This window comes from Homo sapiens, chromosome 18 (genome assembly GCF_000001405.40).
Source record: "Homo sapiens chromosome 18, GRCh38.p14 Primary Assembly".
Lineage (NCBI taxonomy): Eukaryota > Metazoa > Chordata > Mammalia > Primates > Hominidae > Homo > Homo sapiens.
The window spans coordinates 41421894-41444006 of NC_000018.10; the positions used below are offsets into that span (position 1 = coordinate 41421894).

Here is a 22113-nt window from a genome sequence, read left to right on the forward strand (position 1 = left end):
TTTAATGGCAGAACCAATACTTTGCAGCAGTTTATTGCTCTTACTATCATAGCACCTCTTAGACAAACCACCGATGAATTGTCCAATGTCTTGAGTGATTGGGGGTTTAACAAGATTGCTATTGAAGTTAATTTTGTGCATCAACCATAGTGAATTATAAGTTTTTCTTTTCTTTTCTTTTCTTTCTTTCTTAAATGGAGAGGTGGTCTCTCTATGTTGCCCAGGCTGGTCTCAAACTCCTGGACTCAAGCAATCCTCCTGCTTCGGTTTTTTAAAGTATTGGAATTACAGGCGTAAGCCACTGTACCCACCTGAAAGTTGCTTTTCATAGGTATCCTAGTGTACATGAAAGTGACATGAAGCTCACTATGTTTTTGGTAGAGATTGAGCCTTAAGGATTACTGATATGACAAAATATCTAACATTGATTGAATGTTTGTCCTGCCCATCTCACTTCTAATTGTTGTCATATATTAACCTTAGATAATCCTTAATACAGAACAACAATGTAACTAACATAAATATTCTACTTCACAGAATAAGGAAACTGAGATTCAGGGCGTGTGCCCAATTTCACAGTTCGTAAGATTGGAAACAGAATTGTAGTGTAGGCAATACCACTCCAGGAGCTGCTTTTCTTAACCACCAAACTATTTTGTCCCCCTGCAGAATTAGCATATTACGGATGGTTACCTATGCTGTGTGAATTAAAAAGAGGTAACAGTCACAGAATGTCTTTTCTTTGTCTTCATCAGTTCCTGAACTTTCTAGTGAATCTAAGCATTCTCAGCAGGCGTGTGTCTGCGTGTGTGTGTGTGTGTGTGCATGTATGTCTGTGTGGTGTTCACATATGTTACATAAGAAAAGTACTATAGTATTTAAGTTTATTACCACTACATGGTTCATTGTCACTTTAAAAAAGAGAGCTCTAAAAAAGGCACTCAGGATGGGTAATGTTTTGAAATGTGTTTGGTGGAAGCAGTGGAAAAATCTAGCTTCTAAAAGGATTCATCTAGAATCCAAGTAAGATAAATTATGCTAGTAAGAAGCTTCAGAAATTTAGGGGAAAAAAGAGAAAGAACTAGGATTCCAGAGAGAAAGAAAACAAAAACAAACAAAGAAACAAAACAAGACAGAAGATGCAAGGAGTTGGCAAATATATACAATACATATACTGGCAAATATATGGGTATTACAGTATGTATGCCTGTATAACCTGCTTCATAATTTATGCTCCTATATACAGTTGTTTAACTCTTATAGCTGAAATTACAGCACATATGTCCACTCCTATCCTTTATTAACTGAAGTCCCATTTTATGTTCAGTGCCTCTTCAGTCTTTTCATTAAGTTTCCTCTACCCTGACTCAGGTCATTAGAACTTCACCTCTGGATTGGTGTACTAGTTTAAATATTATTATATGAATTTGTCGTTTGAACACTGCTCCTTTTTTTCTCCAGTCCCTCTTATTCCATTTTAATCAAGCCATTTGCTAGCTTAAATGTCTTCTTTAGGCTTCTATCTTTCAAAACATAAAACTGTTTATCGTAGCGTTCAAGTTCTAACCTGAACCTGACTTTACAACCTGCGACTACTTTGACAAGTCCAGTCAAATGGATCCATTGTCCACTCACAGAATGTGTTCTATCTTCCTATTTCTGAAACTTTATGCCTGGCATCTCCTCCACTTAGAATTTCCTCCCCTATTTCTGACTTCTAAATCCTAACCCTTCTCAAGGTCCAGCTCATCTGCCACCTACTTCTGAAAGTTTTCATTGTTATATCAGAAAAATAGTTTATAGTGAATTCTAAAAGATCTTTAATAATGCAATGCCAATTGCATGCTTCCCTGAATTATAGTTATTTGTATGTAAGTTAAGAATATTCAATAGTGACTCAATCAATGTCTTCAAACCCCCTGTATTGCTGGACACATTTTTCATAAGCCTAAATCATAATATGTTCCATTCCAACCCTGTCTCTAGAAATGTACTTGAAATTAGGCTTCATAAACATAAGAAGTTCTAAATGAAGCTCTGATAAATGAATACATGATAAATGTTTCATGATCTGTTCACTTGCTGGCTTTCTGACTCCATCCTTTCCTGGTCTCTCCTATACTTGTAACAGTGGAGGGAGGCTCAGCATACTGACTCCATTTTGCCTCTGAGCAGCACAACCCCCCATCCCCTGAGCCATGCCAGCAGTAGTATCTTTTAGATTAAAAGTTTCTGCTTAACTTTGCCTGTAAACCAGCTAATTATAGGAGGAATTTAGCTTGCAGTGCAGCTTTAAAACAAAATAATAGTCCCTTTCTCAAAACTAACTCCTGAGGAGATAAGGAAATGTTAAAGACTAACAGGAACACTATGACCTGATCTACTTCATCCCAACCAAAGTCAACTGACGAAGAACAAAGAAGTGTTACAACTTCTTTGAATCTTCACTAGTGCCCAGATGTCTATGGTCTTAGGGCACCTTTTAGCCTCAACTCCCTCTTCTCCTCCCTTCCCTTAACATGAAAAGGAGTCTGAAGTTAATACTTACTAACTTAAGGTGATCCTTTAGGATGCTATTCTATCATCTTCTTGGTTAGCTGGCTGTGTAAATGAAGTTGCTTTCCTTGCCCCAAAACCTTGTCTGTCAACTTACTGGCTGTTGTGGGGAGAGTAGTGCAAGACTGGACTCAGTTACATATTCACTACTAGTTACTATGTGATATGGTTTGGCTGTGTCCCTACCCAAATCTCATCTTGAATTGTAGCTCCCATAATTCCCACATGTGTGGGAGGGACCTGGTGGGAGATAATTGAATCATGGGGGCGGTTTCCCTTATACTGTTCTCCTGGTAGTGAATAAGTCTCACAAGATCTGATGGTTTCATAAGGGGTTTCCCCTTTCGCTTGGCTCTCATTCTCTCTTGCCTGCTGCCATGTAAGATGTGACTTTCACCTTCCACCATGACTGTGAGGCCTCCCTGGCCACATGGAACTGTGAGTCCATTAAACCTCTTTTTCTTTATAAATCACCCAGTCTTGGGTATTTCTTTACCAGCAGCATGAGAACGGACTAATAGACCATGCTTCTTTTGTGATTCCTCAAAACTTCAAGAACAGGCTCCCTCAGAGTTTTGCTCTTGTTGGAATGCTTTTCCCATGAATATCAGCCAGACTTATTCTTCCAGTGGAAGGAGGCCTCTACTCAAATGTTACTTGATTATAAAGCCTTCTTTGACCACCTTATATAAAATAGTAGTGTTTTCACACTACTGCAATTTCCCTGGCCCTGCTTTGTTTTCTTTATCCACTTGTCATCACCTAGCATTTTACTCATTCATGTATTTGTTTATGATCTGTCTCTCTCCATCTGAAACTAAATTCCATGAGAACATGGAATTTGTATTACTCATGGAAAGCATGCCCAGGATCTAGCAGGACCTCAATTAATATCTTTTGAATCAATAAAGAGTGAATTATTTAGTAGTTAATTTTTTTGTTGATTTTAACAGGACATGAATTAAAGAGAACGCTGAAAGCATCAGGACTCCCTAATCAAGATAATTTTAAATAAAACTATAAAGCAAAGCTATATATTATACTTTATGCCACCTTAATATACAGATAAAGGAGTTTGACTCAACAGTATTGAGCCCAAGTCTGATCCATTCTCTGGACCCAACTGCCAGTTTGTAGGAAATTCTGAGGACAGTGGAACATGTTGAACTGTACCAAGAGTCTCCTCTCAGCAGCAGACAGACCACGGGAGACTCTCTATAGGTCAAACACCTAAGAGTTTTCAGCAGATAAATTATAAAGACAAGAAGAGGCTGAAAGGAGAACTTATAGATAAAAAGAGACATATTAAGTTTAAAAATAGGCAAGATAAAGCTAATTTAGAGATCCACACTTGGGTGATAAACTATAAAGCAACACATGGAGGTGATTACTATGAAAGTCAGAAAAGACAGTACATGTGGCAGAAGGGAAGGGCTGAGTTAGGACACAGTCCATGGATGGACTTCTGGGGTGGGTAGTTTCATTTTTTTGACCTGGGTGGTAAGTCAGGAGAACTTGCCTTACACTGAGAAACTAAGCTATGTATTGTGCATGTATATATGTGTGTGTTCGTACGTATAAAAAAATGAAATGTATTTTACAGCAAAGTGAGGAAACAAAAAGCTTGGCGCCAAAGTAGAGGGTCTATACTTTAAAATTTCAACTTTTTCTCCTGTGCTGTTTGCTCCATGTTTACTGTCTAGTGCCTGTGTCCTGTTATCTACCATGAATGCACTGAACAATGCATTTGATGAATTCTGGAACTTAATCCCTCTGCCTCACTAATTCTACCCATCCTCATCTCTCTTTCACTTTCTACTTTCCCACTGAATTCCAGAATCAGTCTGTATGCTCAGTGCCTTGTCACCTGCTGCTTATGTAGCCCTAAGAAAATCACTTTCTAATTTCCTTATTAGGAAGAAAAGAGGGGAGGGAAGGGAAGAGGAGGGAAGGGAAGGGAAGGGAAGGGGAAAATGAGGAGAGAAGTAAGAGGAAGGAGAGAAGAAAGAAACAAAAAATAATTTATTTATATTGTGTATTTGCCCATAGCTCTACCTTGAGTGAAAGAGAGAATGAGTTGGGTGTCAATGAAGATTCTGTTTATTCATTTATTTTCCAAACGCAGGAAACATTGGTCCTCAAACAGCTTTAAGGATAATTAAAGCAATGATGAAATATATTGATTGATTCCAAATTTCCTCAAAGGAGTGATTGCATTTTGGACTTTGAGAAATTCCAAAGGAGATTGCAAGAGAAGAGAATCTTGATCCTGGACTGTGTCAGGCATGGTTTTTTTTTTTTTCTTCTTCTCCTTTCTTACTGTTATTAAAATTGCAGCTATGGATACACACAGACAGGAAGAATGTGCCCAGTGCTTAATAATATTTAAAAAAAGACCCCCACCATGTCACTGCACATCAGTGGACATGTTACAATGTTCTATAGACACTCAATCAATAGTTTAAAAAGAAAACAATCAATATATGAACACTACAGAAGCCCACAGCCAGAGTACCTTATGGAAATGTTGGCAGTTTCTCTAATGGTGCAAAGTGATGGGACTGGTATTTTTTTGCTTCTTTGGGAACTGCAATGGAATAATTTAATTTAATATGGTCATGATCTCAAGAACACAGAGAAAAGAATTAATTTTTCCTCCTGGGGAACTACAGCTCTGGTAGCTCCTTTGGCTCATTTCCCTGCCCTGAGGTACATGATGGGTTGCATCCCCAAAACTGGCAGCCTCTATGTGGCTAGGCAGCAAAAACCCTCTCATGAAGGGCAGGTGAGCCCCAAAACAGGGGCTTAGACCAAGGGGGTTCTTGGTTTCTCCCAGGAAAGAGTTCAAGGATAAGCTGGTGGCGTTCACAATTTTTATTGGAGCAGCAGTAAGGAGCAGCAGCAGAGACACTTCTCCTTGTGGAGCAGAGCTACACCATAGGCAGTGTGCCCAGAATAGCAGTTCAGAGGCAGTTCTGCTGTCTTATTTATACTCACTTTTAATTACCTGCAAATTAGGGGGTGGTTTATGCATAAATTTCTAGGAAGAGTCATAACTTCCAGGTCATGGGGTCACTGCCATGGAAAAGGGTGGTAACTTCTGGGAGTTGCCGTAGCAGTGGCAAACTCACATGGCACACTGGTGGGCATGTCTTATGAAAAGCTGCTTCTGCCAGCATTGTTTTAGCTGGTCCTCAATTTGCCCTGGTGTCTGAGCCCCACCTCCAGAGGGGAGTCCTGCTTTGGTTCTTTGGTTTCTACCTCACCGTGTCCTCTGTATGATAGGAGCAGAAACTAATATTGATCATGTGTACTAAGAATTCTAGGCACTGAGCTAAGGCCTCAGATTTACTGTCCCACCATACTCTGCAGGAGACTCTACCATAACTATCATAATTAGATAAAGACACATCGGTTTAGAGGGTTTAGGAGACTGCCCTCAGCCAGAAAGAGAGGAGATGGAGTTTTCAATCCAGTAGAGCATTTCAAAGCCAATGCTTTCAAAAGCAAACGCCTCACTATTTATAGTTCTACCAAAATTGCATATTATTCCTCAGGTCATCAAACATCACAGGGTGAAATCTTAAAATATTAGCCTTGTGATAACACTGAAGGGGGCAAGATGAAGGAGAAATTCCATAACATCTTGTATTGGAAACCTGGAGTTCAAGTCGAAGCATACACATTCACGGGCTCTGTGATCTAAAACAAGTTTCTTATTCTCTCTGGGCCACAGTTTCCTTATCTGTAAAAGAGACACTTATCTTATACCTTTTAGCTAAAAAGGTGGAATAACAAATGTGAAAGCTTATAATACACTCTTAAGGGTCATCTGAATATAAGTTGTTGTCTATGAAAAGGAAACTGAGGCCTAGAAATATTAACTGGCTTGCCTAGAGCCACAGCACTGGTTAGATGGTTAAGGCCTGAGCTGAAAAGTCAAATCTCTTGGCACATATTTATAAACTTTCACTCAACAAGCATCCAAAACTAAATTGAATTAATACCTATTAGTCTTGGGGCCATTATAGGTAAAATAGTAATTTTTAACACTGTGCTTGGCACACTGTAGTTAATCAATAAAAGTAAGGTATTATAATAATTATTATTACCTTCTCTTAGCATTGTTCAAAATAAAAAATCAGATAAGAAATATAAAAATATTATTTAAATAATAATATGCTCTACTAATAGTATCAGGCAAAGTTAGGAGATTGTGTTCAGTATCTTCTTCAAATTTAACAACTTCTAACTTAATCACATATATTGAGTCCAGAATTGTTTGGCCATGATACTATCAGAAAGATAACAATTAATTCTTTCTGCAAGGGAAATTACCTTCCAGTCCAACCCAATTTTTAATTTGAATTGTCTCATAACCCCAATCAATGCAGACTTCCAATCTCTCTTTTTCCTCAGTAGCCAGTGTAGGTTTAAAAGGCTTTAAAGGAAATTCAACTATTTCCACCTGTGTTTGTTGTAACTGTAATCATCTCTCTCTCTATTTGGGACTCAGAGAGAGGGTGCAATGCCAGTAATCCTTTGGTTTGCAACCTAAACTATGTGCTTCTTCAATGCGTCCTTGAGCTAGAGGCCATTTCTAGGGGTGAAGTGAATGAATCATTCCATAAGGACATCTGCTCACACCCTACCTGCTTCAATTGCCCTCAGTTTTGTACAGCTGAAGCTGGGTCATATTTAAATAATACCTGGGTAGGTACAGGTATGGATGTGTGGTAGAAAATGGGCAGGAAAATAGGAATTAGCAGTACAATTAGGGTAAAGGCCGTTCTCATTATTTTAGATGCGAGTATTGACAAGGGCAGAGCTACAATGCACCATTAGTCCTTTTAAAGGACTTGCCACATCCTCATGAAGTTCTCGATGGTAATTTGATATCCTTATCTCTGGCTCCTGGTATAGACCCCACAACTGCAGACCAGGGTTCAATTGTGTCTTGGCAGCTCACCTCTCTCTGCTGCCCCTTGCCGCACCTGAGCTCCAAATAGCTGCTGAACTTCTTATGAATCAGAAACACGTGGGTCCAAATCAACTGGCCCGACTCCTCTCTCTATAGCAGGAGATGTGTTTTCTCTGTTTAGCCTGCACAAAACAAAAGCCAATATTGGTCCCATGGCTCCTCCGTAGTCAGGAGATGGCGACACAGCTGGGTGAAGCCAATGACAGCCTCTCCTTAGAGCTGAGGGGTTTTTCAACTTGTTTTCTTTTTTAATTTGTCGACCTATGCTCTCTCCCTGCGTTTTGAAAAGGACATAAGAAGTCTGAGCCCAGGAGCTTCCCACCAGTAGTGCCTGCCAGGAACTGAAAGGACCAATTAGCAGGGTCCCCTATCCGGATTTCTCCTCCTCTGGCTGACTTGCTGGGGACTCATAAATTACCCATGCTGAGGCAGACGCCAAGACCCTGGGCACTTGCTCACAGCTCTTCAGACACCACAAGCTGAACAGGAGCTTCCCTGTGAGAGGGCCTGTGGGACTTTCACTAAATTTGCCTCAGTGGGAAATCAGTGGTTAACTAGGTCATAGGCAGCTGATGAAATCTCTAAAGGGCGTGAGTATGCTAGGGACTAGCTTTCTTTAGAAAAGTTTGTTCTTTCGTCAAGGAGGGAGGGTTGCAAGAAGCTATAAAAGGGGCCAATGCTTTAAGAAAGAGAAGGGAGGGAAGACAGGAGGGAAGGGGGTGAGGGAAGAATACAGGAAGGGAAATTCTACATTTTAGTTGCTTCCCAAAATAAACAGAGATATTTGGGTGACTTGAGATATTAGGACCTGATATTCATAATAAAGTCTGAATGAGCAAGAATTTGGATGTGTAAGTTTACAAGCAACCACCTTATATGTCATTTCCTTTCATTGTGATGGACATAAACTGGGACAGAGTTGGACATAGGTCCTCTTGTTAAGAATTATAAACACACACACACACACACACACACACACACACACACACACATATATATATATATTTTAAACACCAAACTGTTGTATTGGTCTGTTTCCTCAAGTAAAAGATTGAACTAATTTTTTTCCCAACATCCTTTGTGTTCTCACTAATAAAATATTAGTTTTCTTCGGATATGTACCTCAAACTTAATTTATTTAAAAGCAACCTTCCCATCCTCTCCTTCACTCACTACCCTGTGGGTCAGTCCCTGACCTAGGGGCATTGAGGACTTCTCCTTCCCATTCTATCCAGTCATGAGCCACATTCTGCCAAATCCATGCCTATAATGTCCCGCATGCTTGTACTCTGAATGCTTGTGGCCAGACCCTCATTTCCACTGGCTGGGATGGCTCAGACTGTCATAATTGACATTCCTGCTACTGGCTTACCTCCTTTTCTGTCCTTGCTACACACTACTGTCATAGGTCTCATTCTAAAATACCCTCAGAAAACTAACAACAAATATGGAATATAATCATTAATCGCCAATTAGTCATTCAGGGCCTTCTACACCTAGACCAGCTTTCCCACCTTGTCTGGATTTCTCCCTTCACCCCATAAACTGCCCACTTCAGCCACAGTGGGCGTACAGTACACTGCATTTCTCTAGTTCATGCTCTGCCACTCCCTGCATTGCCTTTCCTACTATCTTTACTTCTCTCATGCAGGCATCTAAAATAGATGATTTTAGATTTGCACCAAGGCAAATGTGACCTCTTGTGTCTCACCTCTTCCCTCCACTGCTGAAGCACCATATCCCCAAGAGAAATTTCCTGAACGCTCAAATTCAAAATATCCCTTTCCAACCCTTTCAACGTTTTAGTTGTAACCATGCTATAGACCTGTTCTGTCTGGTACAGTAGCCGCTAATCACAGGTTGCTACTGAGCTCTTTTAATGTGGCTAGTCCATATTGAAATGTGCTACAAGGGTAAAATGCAGACTGGATTGTTATGACTTAATATTTAAAAAATTAAAATATCATATTAACCATTTTTTATTGATTACATATTAAAATGATAATATTTTGGACAATAATTTGAATTTATTTGTCAAAATAAATATATTATTGGAATCAGTCTCACTTGTTTCTTTTTACCCTTCTAATGTGACTGCTAGAACATTTAAATTTAAAATTACATATGTGGCTGAAGTATGTTTCCAATGGACAAAGCTGCTATAGAACATTTTACATGTCATCTTACATTAATGTGTTGGTCTCCCTCCCCAGCAGATTGTAAACCACAGGAGGGCAAGAAGCAGGTTATTCTCTTTCATCCACAGTAGTTGCATATGTAGGGAACTCAATAGAAATTATTTGAATGAAATTCCAGATATAGGTAGGGTTTATTAGTTCATTCTCACATGGCTATAAAGAATACTACCTGTGCTAGGCCTGGTGGCTCACGCCTGTAATCCCAGCACTTTTGGAGGCTGAGGTGGGAGAATCACCTGAGATCAGGAGTTCAAGACCAGCCTGGCCAACATGGTAAAGCCCTGTCTCTACAAAAAATACAAAAATTAGCTGGGCATGGTGGCTGTACCCATAGTCCCAGCTACTTGGGATGCTGAGGCAGGAGGATCACTTGAACCCCAGAGGCAGAGGAGGTTGCAGTGAGCCGAGATCATGCCATTGCACTCCAGCCTGGACAACAGAAGGTGACTCCGTCTCTAAAAAAAAAAAAAAATTACCTGAAACTGAGTAATTATAAGGAAATAAGTTTAATTGACTCAGTTTCATAGGCTTAACAGGAAGCATGGCTAGGAGGCCTGAGGAAACTTGAAATCATGGTGGAAGGTGAAGGGGAAGCTGGCACCTGCTTCACAAGGAGGCAGAAGGGAGTGCAAGCAGGGGAAATGCCAGAAGCTTATAAAACCATCAGATCTCCTAGGAATTCACTCACTATTACAAGAACAGCTTGGAGAAAACTGCCCTCATGATCCAATCACGTCCTTCCCTTGACACGTGGGTATTACAACTCCCTCCCTTAACACCTATGGATTACAATTCCAGATAAGGTTTGGATGGGGACACAAAGCCAAACCATATCATGGGGCCTTTGCCTTTTTAAAACATTTGGTCTTTAATAAGTTTGCTTGTTATTTGTCATTTCTTTTCTGTTGGTTTCTCTCTATTGGATTTTTTTTTGGTCCTTTTTTGTTTATTTGCAAAAGTCATTTATATATTCTAGATACACATTTTACATACATAAGTTACAAACATCTCCTCTCTGTTTATGAATTGCCTTTTATTCTCTTGTTAAAAGAGAGTTTGTTATGGACAAGAAATTTAAGTTTAATGCAATTGAATCTGTTGACTTTTCTTTTATAATTTAGCATTTTGAGTGCTATTTAGAAAATACGTTATACCTATCCTGAGTCATAAAAAGATTTGTCTTTATTTTCTTCTAAAATGTTTAAAATTTGACTATCAGATTTAATTTATTGATCTATCCTAAACTAATTTTTGAGATGGTGTGTTCTTTTTTTTTTTAATTTAGTATTGCTATGCCACCTCTATAATCTCAAATTTAGTGTTATATTTCTAGTAGATAAGAGTAGACTTCACTTACCTAGGAACTGCTATGAGGGCAAAGTAGAACGGTTTGGATAGTTCTTTTTGACAAGTAAAAATACAGAGGCTCAGCTTCTACTTGGAGAGAAGATTTAACAACTCCAGGATCAACCCAATGGATTTTAGATTTGCACAAAGGCAAATGTGACCTCTTGTGTCTCCACCTCTTACATCCAGGCTGCAAGCAACCTTAAACCCTTCTCATACAATTTCAAGAATCTTAATGGTGATAGGTTCCTTGTTGCCTGTTACCATTATTTCTCAACTGTGTTTTCACTGCTGCTAGGGACTTCTACAAGATAACGAAAGATAGAGGCAAAGAGAGAAAAATAACCTTTCATATATGTGAGACAAGGCAAAAAACTTTGTGGAGCTGGTAGATGGGCATATTTTGTGGGTAGAAGATACAGAAACAATTAACACCTTACATGTTTTCTAGAAGTTTAACAAAAAGAATGCTTTCAAAAGTAGAAAATTATATTTTAAATATAAAAAAATGGATAAATATAAAATACAAAAATATAAACTATAGATATATCAATCATTATTCTAAAACTAAAATTATCCTGTTTACATTTATTATGTATTTATATATTATTAATATATTATGGGTATTTTTCCATGCCACAAAATATTCTTTGCACATAAATTATTAAAGATTGTTCCATTCTATGAATGTTCCAACTCTCTTTTTGATTGGGTTTTTTTTTTTTTGCCTCTCAGAGTTTTAGTCATTGTAAGTAACACTAAAAGTATATGTATATTTTAAACAGATTTTGGTTATATCATAGTATTTCCTTGGAACAACTTCTGTAAGTGGAGTGATTGGATTAAAGGAAATGTATATTATAAAATCTTTGATACATGCAAGCTAGAGTAAATATATAGACTAATTTTAGTAAAAAAGCACTTTTTTGCATTTTATTCTTGTTCCAGAATGATGAACTCAACATATTTTCTGTCATATGGCAGAGATTGAAAGATTATATCTTCCTTCCTTTACTGTATGAATTGCTAATGATTTGGGATCTGTGTTCCAAGGAATAGTGAACTCTATTGCAAAAGAATGAAAAGAGAACAGGATTTAAGGAGAAGGCCAAAGAAATCAACAGTACTTGAGAGGGAAAGAGAAAAATATCAAATAAAAAACAATTCCAGGCTGGGGCATGGTGGCTTATGCCTGTAACACCAAGTCTTTCGGAGGCCAAGGCAGCAGTATCTCTTGAAGCTAGGAGTTTGAGACCAGCCAGTGCAACAAAGCAATAAAGCGGGACCCTATCTCTACAATAAAACATACCAAATAAACAAATTAATCAGGTGTTGTGGGAGACCTGTATTCCCAGCTATTCGGAAGACTGAGCCCAGAGGATCCTTTGAGCCCAGGAGTTCAGAGGCTTCAGTGAGCTATGATTGTACCACTGCTCTTCAGCCTGGGTGACAGAGTAAGACAAGGGAGTGGGGGAGGGAAAGGAGGAAGGAAAGAAGGAAAGAAGGAAGGAAGGAAGGAAGAGAGGGAAGGAGGGAGGGATGATGTGGGAGGGGGGGAGGAAGTGGGAGGGAGGGAGGGAAGAAACAAAGCTATAGGATAGTGGGATGAAAGGTGGTAGGATGATGGGACAATAAATCAGAGATTTTAAATACAAAAGGGTGAGGGGATTTCTTAAGCATTTACTCTTTTTTAAGAGCACAGGACTCAAGTAAAATTAAAGACTTTAAGAAGAAAGGACTTTTCTAAAACAAAATGATCAGAGAACGGTGGGATAAGTGAATAGGAGAACAAATACGTTCCCTGAGAGAATGGACACTGATCCTCATCATCCCTAATTTGAGGCAGAGCCCACAGGAGCTGTAGTGATGACCCCCTGGAGCAAAGAGTTGCTAGATCATCTTGGGCACACTGTCCCAGCAGTACAGGATGTGTCTTCTGACTTTGCCCACTGATGCAGTTTGGCTGCGTCCCCACCCAAATCTCAACTTGAATTGTAGCTCCCACAATTTCCACGTGCGGTGGGACAGACTCAGTGGGAGGTAATCGAATCATAGGGGCGGGTCTTTCTTGTTCTGTTCTTTTGGTGGTGAATAAGTCTCATGGGTTCTGATGGTTTTATAAGGGGGTGTTTCGTTGCACAAGCTCTCTCTTTGCCTGCTGCCATCCATGTAAGATGTGATTTCCTCCTCCTTGCCTTCTGCCATGATTGTGAGACCTCCCAAGCCATGTCGAACTATGAGTCCATTAAATCTCTTTCTGTATAAATTACCCAGTCTCAGGTATGTCTTTATTAGCAGTGTGGAAATAGACTAATACACCTACAGTCATCTCCTTCTGCAACAGAAGTGAGCAAGAGGAAAGCCTGCCTTGCCACAAGACTTGCTGGTTCTTTCTGAATTTGTAGACCTCACAAAGCCTAACTTCTAGTTAAACAGACAGACTTCCAAGTATACAGGCTAACAACTAGACATACAAGTAAATGAGCAGAATATGGTCAGGAGCAAATAATTAGGACAGCACAGTAGAAAGTAAGAAGGGTGCCTACTTTAGATAGACTAAAGATCAGCTAGGGAGAGACTATCAAAGGAGGTGATGTTTAGGCTGAAGTCTTAGGGATGAGCAGAGGTGAATCAGGTGGAGAACAGCATTCCAGGTAACTGATGTACACTGAAGCCCCCAGGAGGGTAGAAACAGCCCAGCATTTGATGGAGGAGCAGGTGAGTGCAGGGCACTGAGTAAGCAAGATGGCTAAGACCTGAGGCATGAGGATGAGTTTAGTTCATATGTCTAAGTGTACAAGAAGTGGTCAAATACAGTCATGCACGCATAACAACATTTTGGTCGAAAAACCTCATATACAGCAGTGGGCCCCTAAGATTATACTGGAGCTGAAAATATTCTATTGTCTATATGATATTGTAGCCAACCTAAAGTCATACTACAATGTATTACTCATGTGGTTTTGGTGATGCAGTTGTAAAGAAACCTACAGCACCAACAGTAGAATAAAAGTCCAGCACATACGATTATGTATTGTCCATAATATTTAATAATGATAATAAACAACTAGGCTACTGGTTTATGTATTTACTAAACTATACTTTTTACTGATATTTTAGAGTATACTCCTTCTACTTATTTTTTTTTAAGTTAACTATAAAGCATCCTTAGGCATTTCTTCAGGAATTATTGCATAGGAAGGCATTGTTATCATAGGAGATGGCAGCTCCATGTCTAGTACTGCCCCTGGAGGCCCTCCCAGTGGGACCAGATGTGGAGGGAGAAGACAGTGATATTGATGATCCTGGCCCTGTATAGGCCTAAGCTAATGTGTGTGTTTGTGAGTTCATTTGGGGAGGTTTTTTGTTTTGTTTGTTTGTTTGAGGTAGTCTCACTCTGTCAACTAGATAGGAGTGCAGTGATGCAATCATAGTTCATTGTATCCTCAAGCTCCTGGGCTCAAGCCATCCTCCTGCTTTAGCCTCCCAAGTGACTGAGACTACAGGCATGTGCCACTATGCCCTGCTAATTAAAAAAAAAAAATTGTTTTGTAGAGACGAAGTCTCATTATGTTGCCCAGGCTGGTCTCCAACTCTTGGACTCAAGTGATCCTCCCACCTTGGCCTCCCAAAGCACTGGGATTCCAAGCATAAACTTCCATGCCCAGCTGTCTTCATTTTAAACAAAAAAAGTAAAAAAACAATAACACTAACTTTAAAAATTCAAATAGCTTCTAGAATGAGGATACAAAGAAATAAAATATTTTTGTACAGTTCTACAATGTGTTTGTGTTGTGTTATTACCAAAGTGCTAAAAAGTTATAAAAAATTAAGTTTAGAAAATGAATAAGTTACTGTAAGCTAAAGTTAATTTAGTACTGAAGAAATAAATTTTATATAACTTTAGGGTAGCCCAAGTGTACAGTGTTGATAAAGTCTACAGTAGTGTGCAGTTATACTCTAGGTCTTCACAGTCTCACTAGTCACTCACTGACTCACCCCAAGCAACTTCCGGTCCTGTCAGCTCCATTCACAGTAAGTGCCCTATAAAGGTATACCAATTTTTATCATTGATGTCATGTTTGTACTGCACATTTTCTATGTGTAGATAGGTTTATATAGCTTTAGATACACAAATATTATCATTGTGTTACAATTGCCTACAATATTCAGTACAGTAGGATGTTGTACAGGTTTGTAGCCTAGGAGCCATAAGCTATAACTTATAGTCTAGGTGTATAGCAGGCTATACTAGGTGGGTTGCACTACTCTATAATGTTCACAGGAGGACAATATCTTCTAACAACATATTTCTCAGAATATATCCCCATTGTTAAGCAACATATGACTGGTGATTGCATTTTTAAATGAAAGTATTATATAATTTGTAGTTACCTTCTAATGATGTTTCCAGCTGCCTGGGTCAGGGACAAATTGCAGGGTGACAAAGATAGAAGTGGAAGGTTCTAGGAGAAGAGAGATAATGGTTGCTTGAATAACAATTATATCTTCATGTTTGCATCATGTTGTTTTAATGTTCTACCTTTTTATGACTTTAATGCCTAATGTCTGAGCCTCTCACTATTCTTTTTCAAAAATATTGGATATTTTTAGTTATTTTATTTCGGGAATAAATTTAATAATTACTTTATTACAGTTCATACCGCCTAATGGCCATTGAGATTTTGAGCAGAATTACATTAAATTTTTAAATTACTGTACAGATAATTCCCGTATGTATAATACTAAAATGAGTTTTTTCAACCATTAGGAATAGATATCTTCATTTACTAATTTTTAAAATCATGTCTCCCAGCAATTTTTGGTAGTTTATCATTGACATCCTAGACAAAATTATTTTTTTTTGCATTTATTTCCAGGTATTTTATATTTTAAGCAATTCTTACAAATTACATTTTCTCTTTATATTTTCTAATACTATAACTTGGTATAAAGAAAACATACAGATTTTTTGTATGTTGTTATTTTTAATGTTTTTCAAATTACTTTTATTGGATTTTCCAAATGTATAATCACATCATTTATCAATATTTACAAATTTCTCTCTAATTTTCCATTTTATCTTATTTTTCATCTTTCAACTTTTATTGCATTCTTATTTAATTTTATTTTATGTATTGATTGATTAGCTGTTTTATTTTGGGTTCAGGGGTATATATCCAGGTTTGTTATATAGATAAATTGAATCTCATGTGGGTTTTGTGTACAGATTGTTTTGTCACCCATGTAATAAGCATACTACTCAATAGGTAGAATAGGTAGTTTTTCAAATATCACCCTTCACCTACCTTCCACCCTCAAGTAGGCCCTGGTATCTGTTATTCCCTTCTTTGTGTCCATATGTACTCAATGTTTAGCTTCCACTTACAAATGAGAACATGAGGTATTTGGTTTTCTATTCCTGTGTTAGTTTGCTTAGAATAATGGCTTCCAGATCTATCCATGTTGCCGCAAAGGACATGATCTCATTCTTTTTTATGGCTGCACAGTATCCCATTGTGTATATGTACCACATTGTCTTTATTCAGTCTATACCATTGATGGGTATTTAGGTAGATTTCATATCCCTATTTTCAGTCTGAAATAGTTTGCTATTATAATGAACATGAAAGAATATGCAAGCATGTGTCTTTACATTAAAAGGATTTATATTTCTTTAGGTGTATACCCAATAATGGGATTGCTGAGTCAAATGGTAATTCTATTTTAAGTTATTTGAGAAATCACCAAACCACTTTCCATAAGTGGTTTGGTGATTTCTCAAATAATTCATAATGGCTGAACTAATTTACATTTCTACCAGCAGTATATAAGCACTCCCTTTTCTCCACAGCCTCACCAGCATCTGTTATTTTCTGACCTTTTAGTAATAGCCATTCTGAATGGTATGAGATGGTGTCTCATTGTGGTTTTGATTTGCATTTGTCTAATAGTTATGTTGAACATTTTCTCATATGCTTTTGGCCGCATGTATGTCTTCTTTTCAAAAGTGTCTTTTAATGTCCTTTGCCTACTTTTTAATGGGGTTGTTCGTTTTCTGCTTGCAAATTTGTTTAAGTTCCTTAGATTCTGGATATTAGACCTACTTCAGATAGATAGTTTGCAAATATTTTCTCCCATTCAGGTTATTTACTCTGTTGATAGTTTCTTTTGCTGTACAGAAGCTCTTTAGTTTAATTAGGTCCCTGTATTAGTCAGGGGTCTCTAGAGGGATGGAACTAATAGAATAGATGTATATATAAAGGGAAGTTTATTAAGGAGTATTGACTCACACAATCACAAGGTGAGGTTCGTCTGCAATAGGCCATGTGCAAGCTGAGGAGCAAGGAAGCCAGTCCGAGTCCCAAAGCTGAAGAACTTGGAGTCCAGTGTTCGAGGACAGGAAGCATCCAGCACAGGAGAAAGATGTAGGTCGGGAGACTAAGTCTCTCTAGACTTTTCAGGTTCTTCTGCCTGCTTTTATTCTGGCCACATTGGCAGCTGATTAGATTGTACCCACCTAGATTGAGGGTGAGTCCATCTTTCCCAGTCCACTGACTCAAATGTTCATCTCTTTTGGCAACACCCTCACAAACATACCCATGAACAATACTTTGCATCCTTCAATACAATCAAGTTGATACTCATTATCAACCAGCACAGTCCCATTTGTCAATTTTTGTTTTTATTGCACTTTCTTTTGACATCTCTATCTTGAGGTCTTTGCCCAGTCCTATGTCCAGAATGGTATTTCCTAAGTTATCTTGCAGGATGTTTATGGGTTTGGGTTTTAGATTTCAGTCTGTAATCCATCTTGAGTTGATTTTTGTATATGGTGTAAGGTAGGGTCCAGTTTCAATCTTCTGGATATGACTAGCCAGTTATCCCAGCATCATTTATTGAATAAAGAGTCTTTTCCCCATTGCTTGTCTTTGTCGGCTTTGTGAAGATCAGATGGTTGTAGGTGTGTGGTGTTACTTCTGGGCTCTCTATGCTGTTCCATTGGTCTATGCATCTGTTTTTGTACCAATACCATGCTGTTTGGGTTACTGCAGTTTTGTAGCATAGTTTGAAGTTAGATAATGTGATTTCTTCAGCTTTGCTCTTTTTGCTTAAGATTGCTTTGGCCATTTGGGATCTTTTTTGGTTCCAGATAAATTTTAAAATAGCTGTTTTTTTCTAATTCTGTGAAGAATGTCATCGGTAGTTTGATAGGAATAGCATTGAATCTGTAAATTGCTTTGGTTAGTAGGACCATTTTAACAATATCAATTCTTCCTCTCTCTGAACATGGAATATTTTACTATTTGTGTCATCTCCAATTTATTTGAGCAGTGTTTGGTAATTCTGATTGTAGATGCCTTTTACCTCCTTGGTTAGCTGTATTGCTAGGTATTATATTCTTTTTGTGGCTATTGTGAAAGGGTTTGCATTCCTAATTTGGATCTCAGCTTGGGTGGTGTTGGTGTATGAGAATGCTACTGATTTTTGCACATTGATTTTGTATCCTGAAACTTTGCTGAAGTTGTATATCAGATCAAGGAGCTTTTGTACAGGGACTGTGGAGTTTTCTAAATATAGAATCATATCATCTGCAAACAGAGATACTTTGACTTCCTCTCTTCATATTTGGATGCCTTTTATTTCATTCTCTTGCATTCTTATTTTAAAGAGTATTTTTTTAAATGTGGCAAGAGCTTCCACCATTATGTGTGATGTTGACTCTTGCTTTAAAACAAATATCATTTTTAGGAAATATTTTATTTTCATTTCACTAAGCATCTCTTCATTAATATTAAGCTCAGGTTATTTTCATTTGTATTAACATTTAGACATGAATTTTAATTATCGCTGTTTAAAAACATCTTTTGTTTATCTGGTTTAAGGTTAGTGTTACATTAACATAATGAATTAAAAGTTTTTATCTTCTAATATCACACAAAAGTTACTTTTTTTTGAAAGTTAGAAATAACTTACTCATTGAGATATTTAAGTTAGGTAACATTTTAGAAATTGATGATTTGAAAAAATTTTCCATTTCTTTTGTAATTTTCCACTGCTGAAATTTTCTATTTGTACCTAGGTCTATTATAATTTTTTTTGAAAATTATTAATTTTCTCCATATATTCAAATATAATGGTATATACATTTTTTTAATTCTGTTATTATTTTCATTTCATTATCTGTCCATATGTTTATTTCTGTGGCTATATTTTAATATTTATGTCCTTATATTTTTATTACTTATGTTATTCAGAATTTTGCCTCTGTTTTCAAAGAAACTACACTAATATATTAATTTTAGTTTTTCTGCTTTCTATTATTTTTTATTTTTAGCTTCATCCCATTTTTATCAAAAATTTCAAGAGTGCATACTTTTATTAAATAATTATTTAGAGAAATGTTTTATAATTTTTCATGTAGTTGCATTTTTTTCTTTTTTAACTTTCGCTATTTATCTTAAGCTGTGTTTTAATTGAATCTTTGCATAAGATCTGGTTGATCTCTTGGTCTTTATATTCCACCCAAAATAGAAAGTTTCAGGAATCTATTACATCAATTTATAATTTTGTCTCCTTAATCTGTTAAAGACTGAGGGTTGCATTAAAATTTCCCACTATAACAGTTTTTAACATACATATTTTACTTATTTTATAGTAGAATGGTAATCCCATGGTAAACTATACCCTGTATTTTAGAGATTTTTTTTGATGCATGATAATTCTCCCAGATGTCTACAGAACTCATATTTGTATAGAAATCACTGCTTATTTTCCCTTCTTTCCTTCCTTCCTTTCTTCTTTCCTCCCTCCCTGCTTCCATTACTTCCTTTCTTCCTTCCTTCCTTCTTGCCTGCCTGCCTGCCTTCCTTCCTGCCTTCCTGCCTTCCTTCTTCTCACCTTTCTTTCTGTCTTTTATTCTTATGGTATGCTTTCCTTTCTGCACCTTCTGAATCTCTTAGTTTAGGTATGTACTTGTCAAAGCTTTATTTTATTATACTAATCTGAAAGCTATGGTCTAATAAATCAGATGAAATTCTTATTAACTGTATTGGCCAAATGGGTATTTATAGTTTACATCATATGCTTAATGCTTGTTATGTATTCTTGCTATGTTCTTGATTTTCTATCTCTTGCTAAATGAACTGTATTTTACCTCCCATATTCTGTTTCCTGCCCAGAATTTTGGAAGTACACATTTAACTTTATAAATTCTACTTGTAGCTATTTTTAAGTTTTGAAAAACAAATATGTACTTTATCCTGTTTTTCTCTATTATCAATTTGTCTTACTGATATTGACTGTTAACATTTATTTAAAATATAGAAGCATGAGATTTACCAAAAACATTTAAAAATTACAATGGTTTTCCTCATAAGATAGCAAACAATACTAAAAAGTTCAATGACTTGAAAAATAGGATTCTATTGTGGAATACATATCTAACTGGTGGGAAGCAGGAGCAAATTAAGAAACAGCCTCAGGAGTTCAAGAGAATTAAGTAGATAAATATGCTATCATTTCAAATAGGAGAAAAAATGATGAATTATCCAATAAATGATACTGAGGGAAATAATTATTTTTTTCCACACAACATGTAGATGAGGGAGATAATTATATGTTTGGGAAAAATGTTAAGTCTAGGCACTATATCAGCAGCATATGTTCAATGAAACAAGACAAGTTGACAAACAAGATGATTCCAGTCATTTCTAAGAACACAAAAGAAACTAAAAGGGTGGAGAGAGGGACCAAGTTAGGGATAGTGGGGAATTTCAATAGGGAAGCTCCAAAAGATTTTTTAGGAAAAATATCAAGAAATCAAGACACTTAGGAGAAATCCATCATGTAAAATTTGGGAAAGTATATTCTAGGCCAAGGAGCCATAAGTGCAAAGACCCTGTAGTAGAAATCGGCACAGGAGGCTTGACTACTGAATGAAGGCCAGTTTTGCTGAAGCTGAGGGAAAAAGTGAAGAGACAGAAAATTAAAGTCGAATTAAAACAACAGTCCTCATTTTAAAGCCATATTGGCAAAATTTATTTCATAGCTAATACCTAGTTTGGCAGGCATGTGGGAAAGCAATCACTATTATAAATTCTTAGCTAGATCGTAGATTGGTAAAGTCTACTTGGCGAACAATGGACTACATCCATCCAAATATGGAAATGTATATCTCTTTGCTTAAGTAGCCCCTCTTCTTAACCTTTATTTGACAGAAAAACTCACACAAATAAGCAAAAGTATATCTATTGCCACATTTGTAATACCAAAAAATGGAGACAGGCATGTTATGGTGCAAACAGCACAGTGGAATACAAGATGACTGTTAGAATAATCAGAGAGATCTACCTATGTGTATTAACCCAGAAATCTTCCCACAGTACATTTCCAGTTCTTGTTTTCCTTTATTTAAAATTGGCTTTCACCGGCTACCTTTAAGTGGAAAAAGATTGCAGGAACAGTAATACTATGCTCTATTGTCACTGAAAATATAATTTATTTTATTATATGTAAATATATATATGCAATGTTGTATATTTATGTATGAATTTGACAGTGAAGCAAGTCTAGAATCTAAAATCAATATGTGCTGTAATAAACACACTTACAAGTTTTCTCTTCCATATTTTGAGTGTTATTTCTGACTTTTATGTTACAAAGATTCCTCATTGTCCCGAAGTCCTTAATTGAGGCCTAGAGTTTGCCCATATTTGGAGGGAGCAATGTCGTCTTACCCTGTGGGTGGGTACTGACTACTCTCAGAATTTGCCTCTCAGGTGCTAAGGTGAGTGATTGATTGGTGTGCATTTCTACTGTCAGTTAAATACCTGAGATGTGTGGAAAGGAGGGCACATCTGTGTATGGGGAAGTCTTGTGTTATTTATTCTTCCAGAAACCAGCTTTATTTGGTAGCTGAGTTTCATTTAAAAAGTCATCAAATAATAAAGGCTATATTATTGTCAGATAATAAGCGTTTAAGGAGAAAGCAAGGTAGCCCCTATCTTATGGTTTCATGGTTAGCGTGTT

General features: G+C 37.1%; 1 long non-coding RNA gene across 1 annotated transcript; it reads right to left on the bottom strand.

Moving 5' to 3' along the window:
* Window positions 1-5070: 5070 nt before the first annotated feature.
* On the bottom strand, window positions 5071-15762 carry LOC107985168 (uncharacterized). Its single transcript, XR_001753427.1, has 3 exons — window positions 15478-15762; window positions 7526-7659; window positions 5071-5143 (listed from the first exon to the last, which is right to left on the bottom strand). It is a non-coding gene; the product is annotated as an uncharacterized LOC107985168 (long non-coding RNA).
* Window positions 15763-22113: the final 6351 nt, after the last annotated feature.